At 39.2% G+C, this 20835-nt stretch overlaps 1 protein-coding gene across 26 annotated transcripts in view; it reads right to left on the bottom strand.

The window, feature by feature from the left end:
• Nucleotides 1-16435, bottom strand: part of HEPH (hephaestin) — a 106193-nt gene extending 89758 nt beyond the window's left edge. For 11 of the 26 annotated variants that reach the window (NR_159801.2, NR_159800.1, NM_001367233.3 and 8 more), the window contains exons 1-4: nucleotides 14636-14859; nucleotides 8369-8548; nucleotides 6507-6751; nucleotides 5305-5517 (exon numbers count right to left, since the gene is read on the bottom strand). Coding sequence is in view for 21 of the 26 variants with exons in the window: in NM_001367233.3 (NP_001354162.2) it covers nucleotides 5305-5517; nucleotides 6507-6751; nucleotides 8369-8535 (625 nt within the window). In the remaining 5 variants the exon portion in view is untranslated. Of the gene's footprint in view, nucleotides 1-5304; nucleotides 5518-6506; nucleotides 6752-7601; nucleotides 7678-7837; nucleotides 7980-8368; nucleotides 8574-11312; nucleotides 11357-14635; nucleotides 15813-16229 lie in introns of those variants that run through there. The other 15 variants (XM_011531075.3, XM_011531074.3, NM_138737.6 and 12 more) reach the window with 7 other exon arrangements.

Here is a 20835-nt window from a genome sequence, read left to right as displayed (position 1 = left end):
GATGAATTAAAGACTTAAATGTTAGATCTAAAACCATAAAAACCCTAGAAGAAAACCTAGGCAATACCATTTAGGACATAGGCATGGGCAAGGACTTCATGTCTAAAACACCAAAAGCAATGGTAACAAAAGCCAAAATTGGCAAATGGGATGTAACTAAACTAAAGAGCTTCTACACAGCAAAAGAAACTACCACCAGAGTGAACATGCAACCTACAGAATGGGAAAAAATTTTTGCAATCTACTCATCTGACAAAGGGATAATATCCAGAATCTACAAATAATTCAAACAAATTTACAAGAAAAAAATAAACAACCCCATCAAAAAGTGGGCGAAGGATATGAACAGACACTTCTCAAAAGAAGACATTTATGCAGCCAAAAGACACATGAAAAAATGCTCATCATCACTGGCCATCAGAGAAATGCAAATCAAAACCACAATGAGATACCATCCCACACCAGTTAGAATGGCAATCATTAAAAAGTCAGGAAACAACAGGTGCTGGAGAGGATGTGGAGAAATAGGAACACTCTTACACTGTTGGTGGGACTACAAACTAGTTCATCCATTGTGGAAGACAGTGTGGTGATTCCTCAAGGATCTAGAACTAGAAATGCCATTTGACCCAGCCATCCCATTACTGGGTATATACCCAAAGGATTATAAATCATGCTGCTATAAAGACACATGCACACGCATGTTTATTGCGGCATTATTCACAATAGCAAAGACTTGGAACCAACCTAAATGTCCATCAGTGATAGACTGGATTAAGAAAATGTGGCACATATACACCATGGAATACTATGCAGCCATAAAAAAGGATGAGTTCATGTCCTTTGTAGGGACATAGATGAAGCTGGAAACCATCATTCTTAGCAAACTATTGCAAGGACAAAAAACCAAACACTGCATGTTCTCACTCATAGGTGGGAATTGAACAATGAGAACACTTGGACACAGGAAAGGGAACATCACACACTGGGGCCTGTCATGGGGTGGGGGGATGTGGGAGGGATAGCATTAGGAGATATACCTAATGTAAATGACAAGTTAATGGGTGCAGCACACCAACATGGCACATGTATACATATGTAACAAACCTGCACGTTGTGCACATGTACCCTAGAACTTAAAGTATAATAAAAAAAAAATTCTTCAATCTGATTGACAATAATAACACAACCTATAAAAACCAAACCTCTGGGATACAGCAAAAGTGGTGCTAAAAGGGAAGTTCATAGCTCTAAACGCCTACATCAAAAAGATTGAAAGAGTGCAAACTGACATTCTAAGGTCACACCTCAAGGAACTAGAGAAACAAGAACAAACCAAACCCAAACCCTAGAGATGAAAGGAAATAACCAATATCAAGAGAAAAACTAAATGAAATTGAAACAAAAAAACTACAAGATAAATGAAACAAAAAGCTGGTTCTTTGAAAAAAATAAATAAAATTGATAGATCATTAGCAAGATTAACCAAGAAAAGAAGAGGGAAAATCCAAATGACCTCATTAAGAAATGAAACGTTAAGATATTACAACTGACACCACAGAAATACAAAAGATTCAAGGCTACTATGAACACCTTTCTGCACATAAACTAGAAACCTAAATGAGATGGATAAATTCCTGTAAAAATACAATCCTCCTAGATTAAACCAGGAAGAATTAGGTACCTTGAATACACCAGTAACAGGCAGCAAGATTAAAATGGCAGTTAAAAAAATTACCAACCAAAAAAGTCAGGACTAGATGGATTCACCATGGAATCCTACCAGACATTCAAAGAAGAATTGGTACCAATCCTTTTGACACTATTTCACAAGAGAGAGAAAGAGGAAACCCTCCTTAATTCATTCTATGAAGCCAGCATCACCCTAATACCAAAACCAGGAAAGAACATAACCAGAAAAGAAAACTACAGACCATCTGTTCATATCCTTCGCCCACTTTTTGATGGGGTTGTTTGTTTTTTTCTTGTAAATTTGTTTGAGTTCATTGTAGATTCTGGATATTAGCCCTTCGTCAGATGAGTAGGTTGCAAAAATTTTCTTCCATTCTGTAGGTTGCCTGTTCACTCTGATGGTAGTTTCTTTTGCTGTGCAGAAGCTCTTTAGTTTAATTAGATCCCATTTGTCAATTTTGGCTTTTGTTGCCATTGCTTTTGGTGTTTTAGACATGAAGTCCTTGCCCATGCCTATGTCCTGAATGGTATTGCCTAGGTCACATATACACCATGGAATACTACGCAGCCATAAAAAATGATGAGTTCATGTCCTTTGTAGGGACATGGATGAAGCTGGAAACCATCATTCTCAGCAAACTATCACAAGGACAAAAAAACCAAACACCGCATGTTCTCAATCATAGGTGGGAATTGAACAATGAGAACACATGGACACAGGAATGGGAACATCACACACCAGGGACTGTTGTGGGGTGGGGAGAGGGGGGAGGGATAGCATTAGGAGATATACCTAATGCTAAATGATGAGGTAATGGGTGCAGCGCACCAACATGGCACATGTATACATATGTAACAAACCTGTACATTGTGCACATGTACCCTAAAACTTAAAGTATGATAATAATAAAAAGAAAAAAAGGAAAACTACAGACCGATATCCCTGATGAACATAGGTCCTAAAATCCTTAGCAAAATACAAGCTAATGGAATCCAACAACATAACAAAAAGATGATCCACTGTGATCAAGTGGGTTTCATACTCACTTGATGCATATGAAAGGAATGCAAGGATGGTTTAACATATGCAAGTCAATATGTGTGATGCACCACATGAACAGAATTTTTAAAAAATTACATGATCATCACAATAGATGCAGAAAATGCATTCAACAAAATCCAACATTACATTATGATTAAAACTCTCAGCAAAATTGGTATACAAGGGACATACTCCAATGTAATAAAAGCCATATATGACAAACCCACAGCCAACATTATACTGAATGTGGAAAAGTTGAAAGCATTCCCTTTGAGAACTGGAATAAGACAAGGATGCCCACTCTCACCACTCCTCTTCAACTTAGTACTGGAAATGCTAGCCAGAGCAATCAGACAAGAGAAAGAAATAAAGGGCCTCTAAATATGTAAAGAGGAAGTCAAACTGTCACTGTTTGCTGACAATATGATAGTTTACCTTGAAAACCCTAAAGACTCCTCCAGAAAGCTTCTAGAACTGATAAAAGAATTCAGTAAAGTTTCTGGATATAAGATTAATGTACAAAATCAGTAGCTCTTCTATACACTACCATTGACCAAGCAGGGAATCAAATCAAGAACTCAACCCCTTTTACAATAGCTGAAAAAATAAATACATACATACATACTTAGGAATATACCTAACTGAGGAGGTGAAAGACCTCTACAAGGAGAACTACAAAACACTGCAGAAAAAAATCATGGATGACACAAACAAATGGAAACACATCTCCTGCTCATGGATGGGTAGGATCAATATTGTGAAAATAACCACACTGCCAAAAGCAATCTACAAATTCAATGCAATTCCCATCAAAATACCACCATCATTCTTCACAGAATTGGAAAAAACAATTCTAAAATTCAGATGGAACCAAAAAAGCGCCTGCATAGCCAAAGCAAGACTAAGCAAAAAAAACAAATCTGGAGGCATCACACTACCTGATTTCAAACTATACTATAATGCCATTTCACCAAAACAGCATGGTACTGGTATAAAAATAGGCACTTGGACCAGTGGAACAGAATAGAGAACTCAGAAATAAACCCAAACACTTACAGCCAACTGATCTTTGACAAATCAAACAAAAACATAAAGTGTAGAAAGGACACCATTTTCGACAAATGGTACTGAGATAATTGGCTAGCCACATGTAAGAGAAACTGGATCCTTAACGCTCACCTTATACAAAAATCAAATGAAGATGAATTAAGGACTTAAATCTAAAACCTGAAACTATAAAAATTCTAGAAGAAAACATTAGATAAACCCTTGTAGACATTGGCTTAGGCAAGGATTTCATGACCAAGAACCCAAAGGCAAATGCAATCAAAACAAACACTTGGGACTTAATTAAACTAAAGAGTTTTTGCACGCCAACAGGAACAGTCAACAGAGTAAACAGACAACCCATAGAGTGGGAAAAAATCTTCACAATCCATACGTCTGACAAAGGACTAACATCCAGAATCTACAATGAACTCAAACAAATCAACAATAAAAAAATAAACAATCCCATCAAAAAGTGGGCTAAGAACATGAATAGACAATTCTCACAAGAAGATATACAAATGGCCAACAAACATATGAAAAAATCCTCAACATCACTAATGATTAGGGAAATGCAAGTCAAAACCACAATGCGCTACTACCTTACTCTTGCAAGAATGACCATAATCAAAAAAAAATCAAAAAACAGTAGATGTTGGCTTGGATGTGGTGAACAGGGAACAGCTACTTTTACACTGTTGGTGGGAATGTAAACTAGTAGAGCCACAAGGAAAACAGTGTGGAGATTGCTTAATGAATTAAAAGTAGAATTACCATTTGATCCAGCAATCCCACTATTGGGCATCTACCCAGAGGAAAAGAAGTCATTATACAAAAAAGATACTTGCACATGCATGTTTATAGTGGCACAATTCACAATTGCAAAATCATGGAACCAACTCACATACCCATCAATCAACAAGTGAATCAAGAAACCGTGGTACATATATACGATGGACTACTACTCAGCAATAAAAAGGAATGAATTAACGGCATCTGCAGCGACCTGAATGAGATTGGAGACTATTATTCTAAGTGAAGTAACTCAGGAATGGAAAACTAAACATTGTATGTTCTCACTGACATGTGGAAGCTAAACTGTGAGGGTGCAAAAGAATAAGAATGATACAATGGACTTTGGGGATTTGGGGAAAAGGCTGGGGGGGCACGAGGGATAAAAGACTACAAACAGGGTGTAGTGTATAGTGCTCAGGAGATAGGTGCACCAAAATCTCACAAATCACCGCTAAACAACTTATTCATGTAACCAAATACCACCTGTACCACAATAACCTATTGAAAAAAAAATTGTTCCTAACCCACAAACAAAGAAAAAAAGTAATGAAATTGCAAAAAAAAAAATAGTGCAAAGTGAGTTTAGCAGAGATTTTTCTTGCTAATAAACAAGAGTGCTGAATTAGCACTCCTCAGGCTGCTGTCCAATATGTAGGTGGTTCAACCATATCACTGCTACCCCTAGATGTCCCAAACTACACCTCATAGCTTATCCTTGGGACCTGTACCTCTTTTACAGGTGATGAGAGGCCCAATTAGGCCAGTTGCAATGTCTCGTGGAGCATCTACATGAGAATGGTAGATCCAGGTGAGGCACGCTGGGTCAGCATCGGTGGGTGCATGGCCTTCTGGAATGGTCCAGTTGTAGATATGGCTGCCCCCCGGGGGAACAGAGTCATCAGCTTTCAGTGGCCCAGAGGAGCCATCTGGGTATAGGGAACCTAGAAATGAAATTGTACATGCACAGGCCCAGAATAAGTGAGGGACCGTGGCAAATACATAAATTAAGACAGAGCTGACATGTAGAACCCTAGGTCCAGTCTTATAAAATGTAGCATGCTAATGACCTACATAGTATTCCTCACAACCTAAGGAGAGCACAGATTTAGGTAACATTTAACCTAAAAAATCCAGTCCTCACATTAACAATGGGTGGAAAGCTTGTAGCCACTGGAAAAGTTCTGTGGCTAGGAAAAGTACAGCTTGGCCTGATCTGGTAATGCCATAGCATAAAGCTGGTGGCATAGAAGCAAGAAGACAGAATTCCCTCCCTTCAAACACTCACTTAAAATAAAAAAGCAGGCAATCACAGAATTTCAGTCTGCAGTCAACTTAATGATTAATTGGTTCACTTCTCCATTGTATGGAAGAGAAAACTAAGGAAAAGTAACTTGTCCAGGATCATACAGGGATTTAGTGGCCCAGCCAGAGTCTTCTGACTTCCCTTTCTATTCCTCTTACTCACTGTTGTCAGTATTATAAATTACTGGGCCAGGAATAAGGGAGATAGAGATAAATAAGCTGAACTCCCCTTTAGGGAAAAACAAAATGGAACTTTCAGAAGACTGTGACACTAGGATGACAATCCTTCACATTTATAGCATTCTCTTTTCTTTTCATAGAATATTCAAATATTCTATGGAGATGCCATTCAAATAGTTCCTTGTGTTAAGAGGTAGACTGTGTCTTCACATTTCTGAGAAGGAATCTGAGACCCAGAGAGAGACAATGACTCGTCCAAGTCACACAGTATATGAATGGCAGAACTGATACCAGTGCCCACCCTTGTTTACTCTGAGGAGAGTCTTTGCCACCTCAGATAAATAGGAAGAAAAGAAAATCTTCACTACCAGTTCTTCTCCTTCACCTGGCAATAAAGGAAAAGTGATATTTGTTGGGCATGGGGGAAAGAAACGGTGGAATGGTTTACCTTCAGAGTCCTTCTCGTAGAAGACACCATGAGGGTGGATGGTATAGGGACGAGTGGCAAAATTCTTCAGGTGAATAAGAATGACATCCCCCACTTCAGCCTGCAACACTGGCCCCAGGAAGCCCAACCAGGCAGGCTGGGCCACTTCATCTGTGTATGAGTCATCCTTGTATTCTTTATAGATGGTCTTCTTGTAGGTTCCCCCTATCCGGTTCTTGTCAGACTTTAAGAAGCTGGAAGCCACTCTGGGAAAGAAGAAAAAGAGTCATAATTTTGCCCCCCATCTTCAAGCCTTGAGAGGTTCCTTTTCCAGAGGATACTGACCAAAAAGTGACTATCTTTGTTTAGGACAAAACAAGAGGAAATGGCATTGTACTGATCAAAACATGAAAGTTTTAGATTTAACTATTAAAAATTTCAAATATCAGCATATGAAATTGCTCATATTTGACCACTTTAAACCCACATAAAAGGCAATTTCACATAGCTTGACACAATATGCAGTAACAAAGAGACAACCAACTGTGGACTGACTCCTTAAGTGATCGACTCCTCGTCAATGTAGCCTGACTTAGCATCATTCTGATACATATGGGAGGCCTTAGGGCATAGTGCTTATAACTCCAAGCTTTGGAGCCAAGCCACTTGGATTGATTGCTGACTCTGCCACTTCCAAATTAGTGGGATGTTGAACAAGTTACTTAACTTCTCTGAACACAATTTGCCCATCTGTAAAATGGAATGGAAATAATCATAGTTCCTAACTCAGACAGCTTTTACTGGTGACTAAAAAAAAAAAATTCAAATACACGAAGAGCTTAGGACAGTGGCAAATAGTAAAAGTTCAATAAATGTGGAATATTACTACAAAGTATTAGGGATGAAGGATAATGAATTTATTCCCTCAAAAAAATTAATACAAGGACTCTGACTCTGAAACTAGATGAATATTTTGTGTCAAAAAAGACAGAGTTGTTATTCCTACTATACTCTAATTCTTCTCAGAGAACTCAGAGATATTACAATCAACTTTGGAAAACTCCAAAGCTTTGGAGAGAAAAAAATGAGTCATGGTCACAAAATAGTTTTTCGTACATTCATTTATTCTTTAACAGATATTTGTGGAGCACTTGCTATTTTCTAAGATCAGGAAAGGTTAATCCTGTGGGATCTATGAGGGACAGAGTGGTGAGAAGAGTATTAGTTTACATTCTCATTATCGAGGTTCAAATCCTATCTTTTTCATTTACTAGTTATAGGACTTGGATAAGTCACTTGACCTCTCTGAGCCTCAGTTTTCTCATCTATAAAATAACTACACACATACTTACCTTCTAGAGTTTTTGTGAGAGTTGAGACAAAGTATGTAAATTTCTAGTATGGTCTGTGTCACAGAGTATTACATAAGTGAGAATTATTACCATTAATTCCTTGATTCTAAGGCTTACTTTCTTTTTTCACATTTTCACATATCTGAAATAAATATACAGTAGCTTCACCAAACTATAGAAGCATAGCTCCCACCCATACATCTTACAAACACTGTATATATTTCATTATTCTTTTTTAAAGTCAAACAGTTGTTATTAAATAAGTAAGCATTGTGGGTATGAGATTAGAAAACAGCAAATATGGAATTCTCTTTAGGACTCTAAAAATGTTACGGCAAACTCCAGATGAAATGCTGGCTTCTGACTCAACTAGCCTTCTTCCCAGGAAATCTGCCACTGAGTATGTACAGCTCGGAGCAATCAGGAGCTGGCTGCTACCACACCCTGGGAAAGGGGCCTCAAGAGGCTACTTCCTGACCTCAAGAGTGCTCCCATAACTTCCCCTCAAATACCACAAGAAATTAAACCTACATGTCACTGTCCAGAGGCTGGTTCGTGATGACATTTCTTCCCTTGGGAGCATAGTTCCACTGCACATCCCGGATGCCCAGGTAGTAGACTCGAGTGGCTCCATCAGTCAGTTGAGGCCACAAGGACTGCATGAACAGCAGAGCCCAGAGGAGGTGGCCTGACTCCATGGCCCACATTACTCTGGGAAACAGGCAAATAAAAACTGCTGGTGTAGAAGAAAGAGAACAAAGGGGCTTTCTACGTGTCCAGAAAACTGAAGAGGCAAGAGCCAGGTTGAGTGACTGAGAAAGCAAAACCCATTTAGCCCAGTTTCTTTAACTTACCTGATTCCTTTTAATTCAATAAGTTTTCAATGATTGGATTTTGAAGGGCATAGTTAAAAAGTCACCCGTGCTGCTAATCATGTATTACTAGTTCCTTCAGAAGAGAGATCTGGATCCAGTTTTTTCAATGGTGTAGCAGGAAGAATGTGCTCTGTCCCAAGAATCAGGAAACAGGCACCAGAAGCCTTATTGGGCCACTAACACTAATTCTCCCTTTGCCTCTCTTTTCCCATAGGCAAAAGGGGAACACTCATTGTTGTTGCCACTTCCTATCCTCTATAAATTGTACTTAACAACAAGTGAGAATTTACTAAAAAATATTTACTAGAATATTCATAAACCCAAAATAGAAACAGTCAAAATGTTCGTGAACACTATAATGAATGAATACATTGCATTTTATTCATAAAATGAAATTCTTTATAGCAATAATAATGAACAAACTACAACTACACACAACAATATGAATGATTATGACAAATGTAATGTTTAAAAAAATAGACACAAAAGAGTACATATTGTATGATTTCATTTAAATACAGTACAAAATCAGGCCAATGTAATCTATGCTGGTAGAAGTAAGGATAATGTTTGCCTTGAAGTAGGATTCTGTGACTGGGAAGGGAAGAGGAGGGCTTCTAAGTAATGCTCTGTTTTGTGATCTACATGCTGGTTGTAAAAGCGTGTTCAGTTTGTGAAAATACATTGAGCTATAAACACGATTTGTGCACTTTATGTGTATTATACTTCAAAAGTTAACAATGAACCAAAAATAAATGACAGTATGTGAGGGAAGTATTTTGAACTTCTCAGAAGAAATGTTGTCTGCTGATTCCCAAGGCTATTCATAAATTCATTTCATAGGTCTAATCCTGAGTCAGAATCAGACCCAAGATTCTAACCTCTCACTTCAATGCATAAGACAGGACGTTAGACTTCCTGGGACTAGGACGAAGCACTCAGTGATACCATACACAGTTACAGTCAAACACAGAAACACAGACAACATCACATAAATACATAAACTTGCACACACAGGTACATGTAGTCTTACCTAAAAGCAGAGATGCACACACTTCCATTTACACATAAAATCACTCTGTTATATAAAATCTTAGTCAACTTCAGAATAATAATAATAAAGCTATATTTATCGTATGTGCATGGTACATCTGTTCCAAATGTTTTACACAGATTAAATCATTTATTCCTCACAACCACCCTATGAAGTAGACACCATTATTATCCCCATATTACAATGGAGAAACTTCAGAAGAGAGGTGTAAAGCAGTTTGCCCAAGGCCATCTAGATAAAAATCGGTAGAGTTGGGATTTGAGCCCAGGAAGTGTGGCTCCAGCATAATCACCATGCTGTACTACCTTCCACAAAAATATACTTGCACACTCACATGTATATACACAGAGAACATACATATGCCTATAGCAACAGCCATATCTATGAAAAAACACATACATTCTGAAACAAGCAATTACATGCAGTTATAATCACTTTACAAACAGACATACATACTCATGTAGGCAGAGATATAACTAATAGATTATATTAATGATAATGATGATAATGGCTACTATTCACTGACAGATCATTACATAGTAGCACCATGTCCAGTGCTTTATATAAATTATTTCGCTAAATCTTCAACCCAAGCATATGAAATAGGCATTGTTAATAAAAAATTGAGAATCAAATATATGCACAGATTCACATATGGATAGAAAATCCCCAGATATTTACCCTTTTTAAGAAATAAACTTATAGACTACTTCACAAACTCTCAGTCCTCTCCATACGCAGCAGTGACCCAAGTGTTAATCCCTAGATTCCATATTATATTTGGCAGAAAGCTCTTGATGTAAGAGAGGATCTGTTTTGGGGTCCTTTTTTCCAAAACCTGGCTCTCCCACTGACCAGCTGTGTAGCCTTGGGGATTACTTAACCACTCAGAACCAGTTTTCTCATCTGTAAAATGGGTATAATAATATCAGCCCTGGAGAAATAAATCAGAAAGCTTACATGAAACGGACAAGTATAATCCATGTTTGGAACATAGTAGGCAGTAGTAACTACTGGTTGCCTTCCTCTTCCTTTTCCCTCCTGGCTGCAGTTTGTTAATTCATCTCTACAGTCTCACATCCATCATACTTTCTATATTCCTACTCCAAGGGTTAATTTGAATACTAACTGCTCCAGAAGGCCACCTTTAGCCTCTTCATATCACTGTCCTCTGCAGGGCTACTTACTGTCTATAGCACCCAATTAGATTAAGTCAGACTCTGTATTATTGTTACCTTTCCATCTCATGACCTGCCTCATGAACTGTCTTCATTTCCCAGATTGGACTACACACTCCTTGAGAGAGAATGTCATTTTTTAGAGGTCGCTGTGTATCTATTACGACATGGCGATGGAGGCCAAGTAGATGGGCAATAACAGCTATTGTTAAAGTGACATAAAGAAGCACAAGTATACATTTTTCCATCAGTTGGGTCTGGTTCAAGTTCTAATACTTGTTCAGGGTGAACTTAGGCAAGTTTCTTCACCTCATTTTTCCCATCTATAAAATAATTGACTATATAAAGCTGGACTATATAGTTCTTACCTTTTGAGGGAGTCACAGAAGTGTGATAATCTAAGTGCAGAACCATAAAAATGTGGTATGTAATGAGCTCTCAAAGAGTCCTTCCAGCTTTCACATGCTGCCAATACTTACATTCACTGATGAAACACAGGCGTACTCACATACACCTACACATAGCTCTATATATGGTCACACAAATAGTCATGCCTTGGAATCCTCAACAGGGAGGGAGTGTCCTCGGTTCATTCCAAGTCTGAATGCAACATGGACCCCTTTCAATCTTCTTTCTCAGAGAGGTGTCAACAAAGCAGTTGTGCCTTGAACTCATTTACCTAGACAGAAAACTGTCCCAGGCAAGAGCTCCACAACTGGAGAAACACATGATAAAACTGAAAATATTCCTGGGAGAGACTAGTACAGGCCATCAGCATACAGTGAACAAGCATTCAACAGTGGTGACTTATGATCCAAATGGCTTAAACAATAGAATCTGGGGAGTGGTGGGAAATGCCACCTAACATACCCCTAGCAGTTTCCAGATTACAATGTGTTTTTCATATCTGCCATCTTATATAATTCTCAAGATCTTGAGAGATAAGGAATACTTACTCGATTTTGCATCCAGGGCACAGGCTTTGGTATCAGGCTACCTAAGTGAATCTTGGCTCCATTTTTCCTAGCTGTATGACTTGGGAAACTTCTTCATTTATTTAGCCACAGTGTCTTTATTTTTCAAATGGTATTAATACTATTAGCTACCTCATAGAGTTTTGTGGGGATTAACTTAATTAAGATCTGTAAGTACTTTAAGGGCACATGTAAGTGATCAAAAGGTATTAGTGGCTATTACTATTGCAAGTAAGGAAATAGTTTGGAAATGAAACTTGCCAGGGCCATAAAGATTTTCCATTTTATGAATAGCAATAAATATGTGCACACTCATAAATTCCCATATATGGTAACACATTCTAAGCATACAGGAATATAAACATAGGTATGAAAATGCACACAGCCCAAGCTGAACTCTCTTCTTGGAAACAACATGGTATAATGTAAAGAACTAGAACTTTTGAGTCAGACAAACTTAGGTTTAAGTACTGTTTTACTCTATATCTAAATAAGATAAATTTTTGCAGCAGCTGGGACTTAGTAGGCACCTGATAAGTATTTTTCTTCCTTCTAATTATTGACATCCTTTCTATCCTCCTCAAATTTGAATTTGTCATTGTTATTGCTGCTGTTTAATTTGGTTTTATCATATACTAAAAGAGCAGAAAAAATGAAAAACCCATAAAATCCTTTATAACCACTTAGATGTTAGGCCAGGCACAGTGGCTCACGCCTGTAATGCCAGCACTTTGGGAGGCCGAGGTGGGTGGATCACCTGAGATCGGGAGTTCAAGACCAGCCTGACCAATATGGAGAAACCCTATCTCTATTAAAAATACAAAAAATTAGCTGGGCATGGTGGTGCATGCCTGTAATCCCAGCTACTCGGGAGGCTGAGGCAGGAGAATCGCTTGAACCTGGGAGGCGGAGGTTGTGGTGAGCCGAAATCGCACCATTGCACTCCAGCCTGGGCAACAAGAGTGAAACACGGGTCTCAAAAAATAAATAAATAAAATAAAATATAACCACTTAGATATTTCATGGTACAGTGGAAAGCGTTCAGGCACCAGAAAATAGTAAGTTCTAGCTCTGGATTCATCATTTATTGGTTATATAACCTTGAACAAGTCCCTAACTTCCTGAGCCTCAGTTTCCTCATGTCTTAAATGAGGATTGTCTCTACTTTGGGCCCCTCATTAGTTTGTAATAAAGGTCAAATAATATGAAAGATGTGAAAGCCCTGTGTAAGCTTTTCACTTGGGCAAGGATATTTTTTTTCTCAGCTAAGCCCATAGAGAAGAACCAGACTGATGAGGAAAAAGAACAGGAAGAAATAAAAGGAGAAATGAAATAAGTAAGTTGAGAAAGAATCCTGGAAAAAAGTAAAAAATACAAAATAAAAAGGAAGGCAGAAGGAATAGGCACTCAAAGGAAGGAAAAAAGAAAGAAAAATTCTAGGCTATTTGGATAGTTTAGTTAAGATATACTGAAACCTTGTGCCAACCTGGAGAGAAGATCAGCCAATATAAAGTTAAGCCTCCCTTACCTTTACCTTACCTTCCTGCCATCCCAGTGTCACCTGGGTCTGGTCCCTATTATTCATAACAATTTGCATTGCTGTGTTCCCTAGAATTTGCAAACTGTTCCTTTATTGCGACAATGCTCTTTTCTCTCCCTCCATCTCCCTTTCTCAGTTATACTACTTTGGGCTAGACAGGCTCATCCTAAACAAAGGATTACTCAACTGAATAAAGGAATGCTGAGCCATCTTTGGGGCCCTGTCTTCAATCTCTCAGCAGCCTTCCTAATAAACCCTCCATCAAAATTCACCTTTTGGTCCTCTGCTTTCTTAACTCTGTGATAGAAAACATACCGATTTGAAGTTAAAGACCTTGATTCAAATCCTATCTCTTGTCTGTGATAGCTATGTGACCTTTCAATAAATTATTTTAGCCTTAGTCATCTCATCCAAAAAATGGGATGATATTTTTTTCACAGGATTGTCTTGAGGCCCAAATAAAACCATGGATATTTGAGTCCCTAGCAAAAGGATTGCTTGTCATATAATAGATGCTGAGTAATGAAAAACTGAACGTGTTATAGATTCACACATGCATGAAACCTTTAGAAACCATCTTTTTCAATCACCCTCATTTGATGTATAAAAAACTGATACCAGAGAGGTGCAAGGATTTGCTCAAAGTCACGCAGCCAGTTGTTAAAAATAGCCAGAATTTGAACCAATGATTTCTAAAAGATTTTTGCTATGTAGAAACTAAGACTACTCAAATTCAGATGTTTAGCTTAGTTAAGCTATCATTTATTGGCTTACTCTGTGCCAATCTGGTCTCAAAATATGAAACCAAACATGGTTATTTTTAAGTAACTGAGTTCCCACTTACATAATCCTCAGATCCATCACCTCAATAAATTCCTCAACCTGTGAAACAGAAGATGAGCAAGCTATTTCGACAGGAAAATGAACTATTCTGTATGGCTCCAGGATTGGCCCTGAAACAGACAAGCCAGTGTAGTCCTGGCTATTTTGGCGAGAGGAACAAAAGGAGCCTATTGTCTCCTTTAACTTTCCTGCACATCAGCCAAACCTCCTCCAACTTTTTGGCCACTGACTTTTTCTCCTAGTGGCCAGGACTCCCTTAAACCCAGCTAAATAAACGTTTTTGCACAGGAAGGCAGGTGAGGTAGAGTTTGAAAAGAGAGAAAAGAAAGCTTACCTTTGCTAGAGAAAACTACTCCATATTCATGTCAGCGGCCCATTAATGCTGCACTGCAGACCCCAGCCTGAGTCCGCCAGCCATGTTCAGTCAGTATCTTGGTTACAGGGCCTTTCTCCTAAATTAAGTCCAGGATTCCAATTTGGCAGGGTTTACTGGGATGGGAGGATGAGGGAGGGGGAAGGGCTGGGTGCCCTCTTTTCCAGAAACAAAACTACTGGAATGTCCTGTTCCTCTGGGGCCTGGTTTGATACAAAACCCGGGATGGTTCTTTACCCATATCCGGGTGTTTTACAAATCCTGGTTAGGATCTCAGGAGGAATTACAAGGGGGTGGGTTGTACTTCTGTTATCAGGACTTGCTAATTGGTCTTTGCTGAGAGGAGAACACTGTCAGTGTGGCCAGCCAAAGCTCATGGGTAGATTTCAACAGCTCCATTTAAGAAATGAGGTAGAAATTGAAAGAGCCTCCATCTCACCACCTCTTCCCCTTCTTGCTCTGAAGCACAATTGTCAGCCCTGACTATTATTCTGAGGTCATGGCTGCTTAGTCATAAGTAAAAATAAAATTGGCAATAAAACAAAGGACTTTTTTTCTACATTCTAAGCCCTATGTTAACCATTTTACATGCATTCTCTTATTTAAGTCTCACAATTATCCTGTGAGATGAATACTCTAATTCTCTCTATTTTACAACTGAGGAAAATTCAGCTCTGAGAGGGAAGGTAACTTGTCCAAGGTCACACACTTAGGAAGTAAAAGAGAAGAGAGATTTGCTGGGTCTGTCTAAACTTTTAACCATGAAACCACCACACACAATGTGCTGCTTAGGGGAGAAACACAGTACTTTCAAGGGGGTAGAAGGGACTTCACAATTATTGAAAGCCTACTGGCCACCAGTCACTGGTGGATTTTTTTATATATACATTAACTTTGCCTCCGTCATTTCTAGCAGATTCTAGAGTGAAATTTTATATTAACTATATTTAACATTTTCCACCTGAGGAAACCAGATATAGCTAGAAGATAGCCTGGATTAACACAGGTCAACACCCTAAAAACTAAGACATGGAAGAATTGAAAATACTAAAAAGAAAAAAAAAACAAAATGTTCCCCCAACAATTCAGGGTAAAACTGGAGTCTGGATTTGTTTAAAGTCAAAGGTCATTCCCATTCCTGGTGGAAAGAGAGAAGAGTGAAAAGTCACTGTCCTGAGTCAAGTGACCAAGGTTCTCGCCCCACTTGCTCTAGGAGTAATCAGCTATGTGGATTTTGTGGATTTGGCCCACTCCCTTCTCTTCTCTGGGCCTCTTTCTATTTCTACAATGAGGGTCTTAAACTAGATATGGACCCTCCCAGCCCTGTAAATTTACACATCTAGAATTCCATGAAGAAAGTATAGTCTAGATATTAAACATAGAAGATAAAGAGGTTTCAAAGACACAAAGTATAGGGAAAGAATGAGTGGGGAGCAATTTGTGGCGACAGGTCTGAGAATACTATGCCTCTCTAAAAAGGACTGCATCTACCCAACAGACCCAGGTATAGGAAGGGGACAGGTATGATGGGGGTTCCACCACCTGATATTCTTACTTTGTGATGAGGAGATCTTGGCTAGGAGCAGACACTTTTCTCCAGGCAGGCTGGGCACATTTTCCTCTTCTGAATTTAAAGTGTCTGGAGCAGGGTCCAGGGAAGAGAACATTCAGAAGACTGAGGTGGTAGGGCAAAGTCTGGGTCATAAACCACTAGAGATTCTTAAGTGTGCTCAGACACTTAGGCGCTGCCCCATGGACTGCAACTCAGACCAAGGCAGGTGGAAGCACCAGTAGGAAGGAAGGAGGAGCCACCAGCCTCAACTCCCTTAGAAATGCTCAGTGGTCAAGGGAAGCTTAGCCAAGCCATGGCAGCCCCTAGAATTATCTGCCTCGCACACATGTGAACCTTGAAGCAAGAAAGGGGAAGTGGAGACAAAACTGATTAAGCTGAGATCCAAGTCCAAGCTCTAAGGCATTTATGACAGGGAGGGGAAGGGATAAGGCCTCTGCTCTGACTCATGAAAGACAACAAGAACAGGTCATAATAGACTTGAATCAACACAGTGAAGACTGCAGGAGGCCAGGTAGGCCAGGTTTCCAGGTTTGTATTATTCATTCACCAATTTCACTGAGAGTACAAACAGCACCCACCTTTTCTGCAAATCCGGGGTACATTTCTGGTTCCTTCTCCTGGAGGTCACTTGAAAAACATTTTAAAGTTGGTGTCTACAGACCAGAGGTTGGCAGATTTTTTCTATAAAGGGCTAGCTACTAAATCATTTATTTCCAGAGCATACAGTTTCTGTTTGCCATAACTACACAAATTTGTCTTTGTAGCTCTCAAGGTATATCATTGTGCCAATAAAAATTAATTTACAAAACAAGCAGCAGGCTAAATAGACTTTTTTTTCAATATAGACATTTGCAATATGGCATCACTGTTAAGAGCATGAAAACTGAAATCAGATATTCTGAACTGAAATCCCAACTCTGCCATTTCCTGATTCTATGATTAAAGTAATTTAATCCCCCTAAACCTCAGTTTTCAAATGGAGATAATAATATTACCTATTTTATAAGACTGTTATAAGAACTTAAATAAGGCTATACGTATTAACTATTTAGCACAATAACTGGAACATAGTAAAGGCAAAAATTAGAGTTATAATTTTTAATTTTTCAATTCTAAATAATTGTTGAAATCTAAATAATTATTTCCTCGTTAGGACACAAACTGTATTAACTTGTGTCAAAAAAGAAGAATGTTTCAAGAATCCTGGCTTCACATTCTAGTTATGCTACTAAAGAGCACACAGTGACCCTGGACAAGTCTTTTTGCCTTTCTATCACTCAGTTTCTTCACCTATAACATGAAAAAGGTGGTCTAGATTTGGGTTTCTCAAAATTAATTTTGGCAGCAGAACCCTTTCCCCAAACAGAATCTTAGTAAACACCCACTACTTATGGAAGATGAAAGTGATTTGTTCTAGGTAAGGCAGGGAAGGAGATAGAAATGGGCAAGGGTGAAGAGACAGAGGAACCTGTCCACTGGGTATGACTGGTTTCCTAGACAATGTGATTGTGTCTGGAGCACCAGTAAGAAATGTCTAGGACACTAAAAACAGATTGGAAAACCGTAAGACCAGAATATCCTTAAGGGTCCTTCATGTGTTAAACTCTGTCACTAGAACATCTTTTCGTTTATTCATTCAACCAATATTTCCAGGTTACTCATCTATGGGCCATCAATAACACATGGCCCTGGGGTGGCTACAAAGAGGAGAGGACCCCAGGGACCTTCACATTAGAGTCAACATGGTCTAGGGTGAGAAGCATGGCATTTGGAGTCAGAAAGACTAAGGATTGTATCTTGGCTGCCTTTTTCTGAGCTATGTGACCTCGGGCAAATCACTTAACTTTTTCGAGCCTCTGGTCCCTCATCTGCAGAACAGGAATAATAACACTTCCATGACTGAAATATTGTGAGGATTAAATCAGCTGGCATTTGTGTGAACCCTTAGCACAGTGCTCAGCATGTTCAGACCCCCAGTAAATGTTGTTTTCCTTCCTATATTTTCCACAGTTAAATTTTGTGACAGTATCAGGTACCAGGAGAAAATTAAAAGCCATGGGCAGTGCCTTGGCACAGACAGTCTAACCCCTTTACCTCAGGATCCTCTGATGAGCTTGCCCTTAGCAGTTTCTTAAAAAGAAGACCTCTGGGGAAAGGTGGAGGGGTGCAGGGAAGAGGGGGTTGTCCCCCAGAAACCACATCTCTGAAGCCACTCCCCACCACCACTTCTGACCAGCAGACTCTGTTATGCTTTGGAAAGGTTGCTCTGCATTGCTGTGATGTGTGACAGCCCTAGGCTTGCTCTGGGTACACTGTTTGGTTCTTGTACTCTGGCTCTTGAACTCCACTTGCTGCTTTCCCTAGTCCTCCAAGGCTGTAGGCCTCAAACTTGAACATGTACCAGAATCCCTTATAGGATTTGTTAAGGCATTGAGTTTTTGCTTCAGTAAGTCTTGGGTGAGGCCCAGGAACTTGCATTTCTGGCAAGTTCCCAGGGGATGCTGCTGCTGCTGGTTTGAGGACCACTGCTGGTTTGAGGACCACTGCTGTAAGGGATGCTTGCTCTGAAGCTCACCCCCCAACCTCCCACCACCACCAGCTTACTTGCATCTGCAGACTGATTCTTTAGCTCCAGACTCACCTGGTCTTTGAGTATTCACTCTTTGGCCCTAGGTCAAAAATATATTTTATTCAGCTTCCTGGTACCTCATTCATGTGGCGTCTCCCTGAGAGTCCTCCCAACACCTATTTCCCCACTCCCTTTGCCCAAGAATCTTTCTGCTTGCCTGGGTGAAGCTTCCTCTCCTCTCCCTGTGCAATTAACATGCTTTCCTCTCTGTTGCCTGCCTGGAGCAGCTCTATACATGGCATCAGCTGTTCCTCCCAACTCTTCTATACTTTCTCATTTGGCTTCCTGATGGTGGGCCCTGGGCATGGACAAACTTGGTTTGAATCTTAGCTCTGTCTCTCCCTAAAATGTATGATCTTGGGGAAGTCACTTGAGTGCTCTGAGCCTCCATTTTGTTATTTGTAAAATCAGGCTGTGAAAATAAAATGCAATGTCTGAAAAATGGCCCTGTGTAACACCTGTTACATAGTAAATGATCAGTAAATGTTAGTCTTTTTTTTTCTTCCTCTATTTTCCTCATACCTGCCTACTTCCAGCCACACTACTAAGGAGTACATAGCATGTAAGAAGGCTAAAACAATGTACAAATAAAATGTTTCATTACTATAAATAGACATAGTAAGTAAGAGAATAGAGGTCTCTACAATGTGATATAACATTTTAGAGTAGGGAGAGGATATTTTCAATGGGTGAATATCATTCAGAATAAGCCTCCTGAACGACTGCATGACATAATTAGCATTCTCATTCCTATATACCAAGCCAGAGACTTGAATGTCATCTGAGATTACTCTCTTCTCTCTCACTCTCTACAACCATTTCATTGATATGTCCTGTCATATTTATATTTTACATCTTTTTCTCAATGCACCCACTTCTCTCTATCTCCACCGCCATGGACTTGGTCTAAGTCACCATAATCTTTTAATTGGACCAGCGTAATAGCCTCCTTATAATTCTTTATGACTCCACTCTTGACCCCCCATAATCTGGTCTTCAAATAACAGTCAAAGCTATTTTTCCCATAACACAAAAGTGGTTGTAAATCCTTATTGCTTAAAATCCCCCAGCAATGCCTCCCTTATTGACTAAAGTTGGAATAATAATGATATTAGTAAGACTCTCTAGTAAGGATGACACTCAAACTGATGAAATATTTCGTATATGTGTGTGTGTGTGTGTGTGTGTGAATGCACATATGAAAATATTTTCAATATATGTCATTAAATAAAAAGCAAGGTGCAAAAGAGTGAGCATATTGTGATTGGTCATACATAGAGATATAGATATCTCCACACACACACACACACACACACACATATATACATACTTACATGAGGGGACAATGAATATTTCTTCTGGAAATAACACAAAATATTCTTAATGGTGGTTTTCCTTGGGGAGAGTAACTTGGTTGGGGGAAGCGTGACTTTCATTTTTCGTTTTGAACTGTTTAGATTTTCAAGCCTTATATATTAGTTACTTTTGTTTTTAAAAAAAGGTCACTTGGAAAGTGAATATGAAGCCACTTTTGTTGTCTTCTTTGTATTTCTATTCTCTCAAGAAACTCATATCTGTTACATTAAGAAAATTAATTCCTTATTATTTCACTAGGATAAAGATCAAACTTCTTAACATGGCCTATATGGCATTTTTATGGCCCAGCCCTTCCTAATCTTTCTAGGTCACTGCTTGCCCTTCCTCTCCTCACACTCAATGCGTCCCACCCATGCCAGAGGTCTGTCAGTTTGTCAGTTTCCAATGTGCATGGTGCTCTCTCTTCCCTCCAACAGATTCTGATATGTTGTTTCATCTGCCTCAATCACTTTTTCACCTATTCATTCACCCACTCATTTTTTGGGTCTCAGTTTAGAAGTCCCTTCCTCTAAGAGGTTTTCCCTGACTTTCTATGCTTCTGGGTGAGGTCCTCCTGTGATGTGCTCCCAAGTCACCCCGTAC

This window comes from Homo sapiens, chromosome X (genome assembly GCF_000001405.40).
Source record: "Homo sapiens chromosome X, GRCh38.p14 Primary Assembly".
NCBI classification, from domain to species: Eukaryota; Metazoa; Chordata; class Mammalia; order Primates; family Hominidae; genus Homo; species Homo sapiens.
The sequence above is the reverse complement of the archived record's forward strand: the minus strand, read 5'-3'. Positions and strand labels throughout refer to the sequence as shown.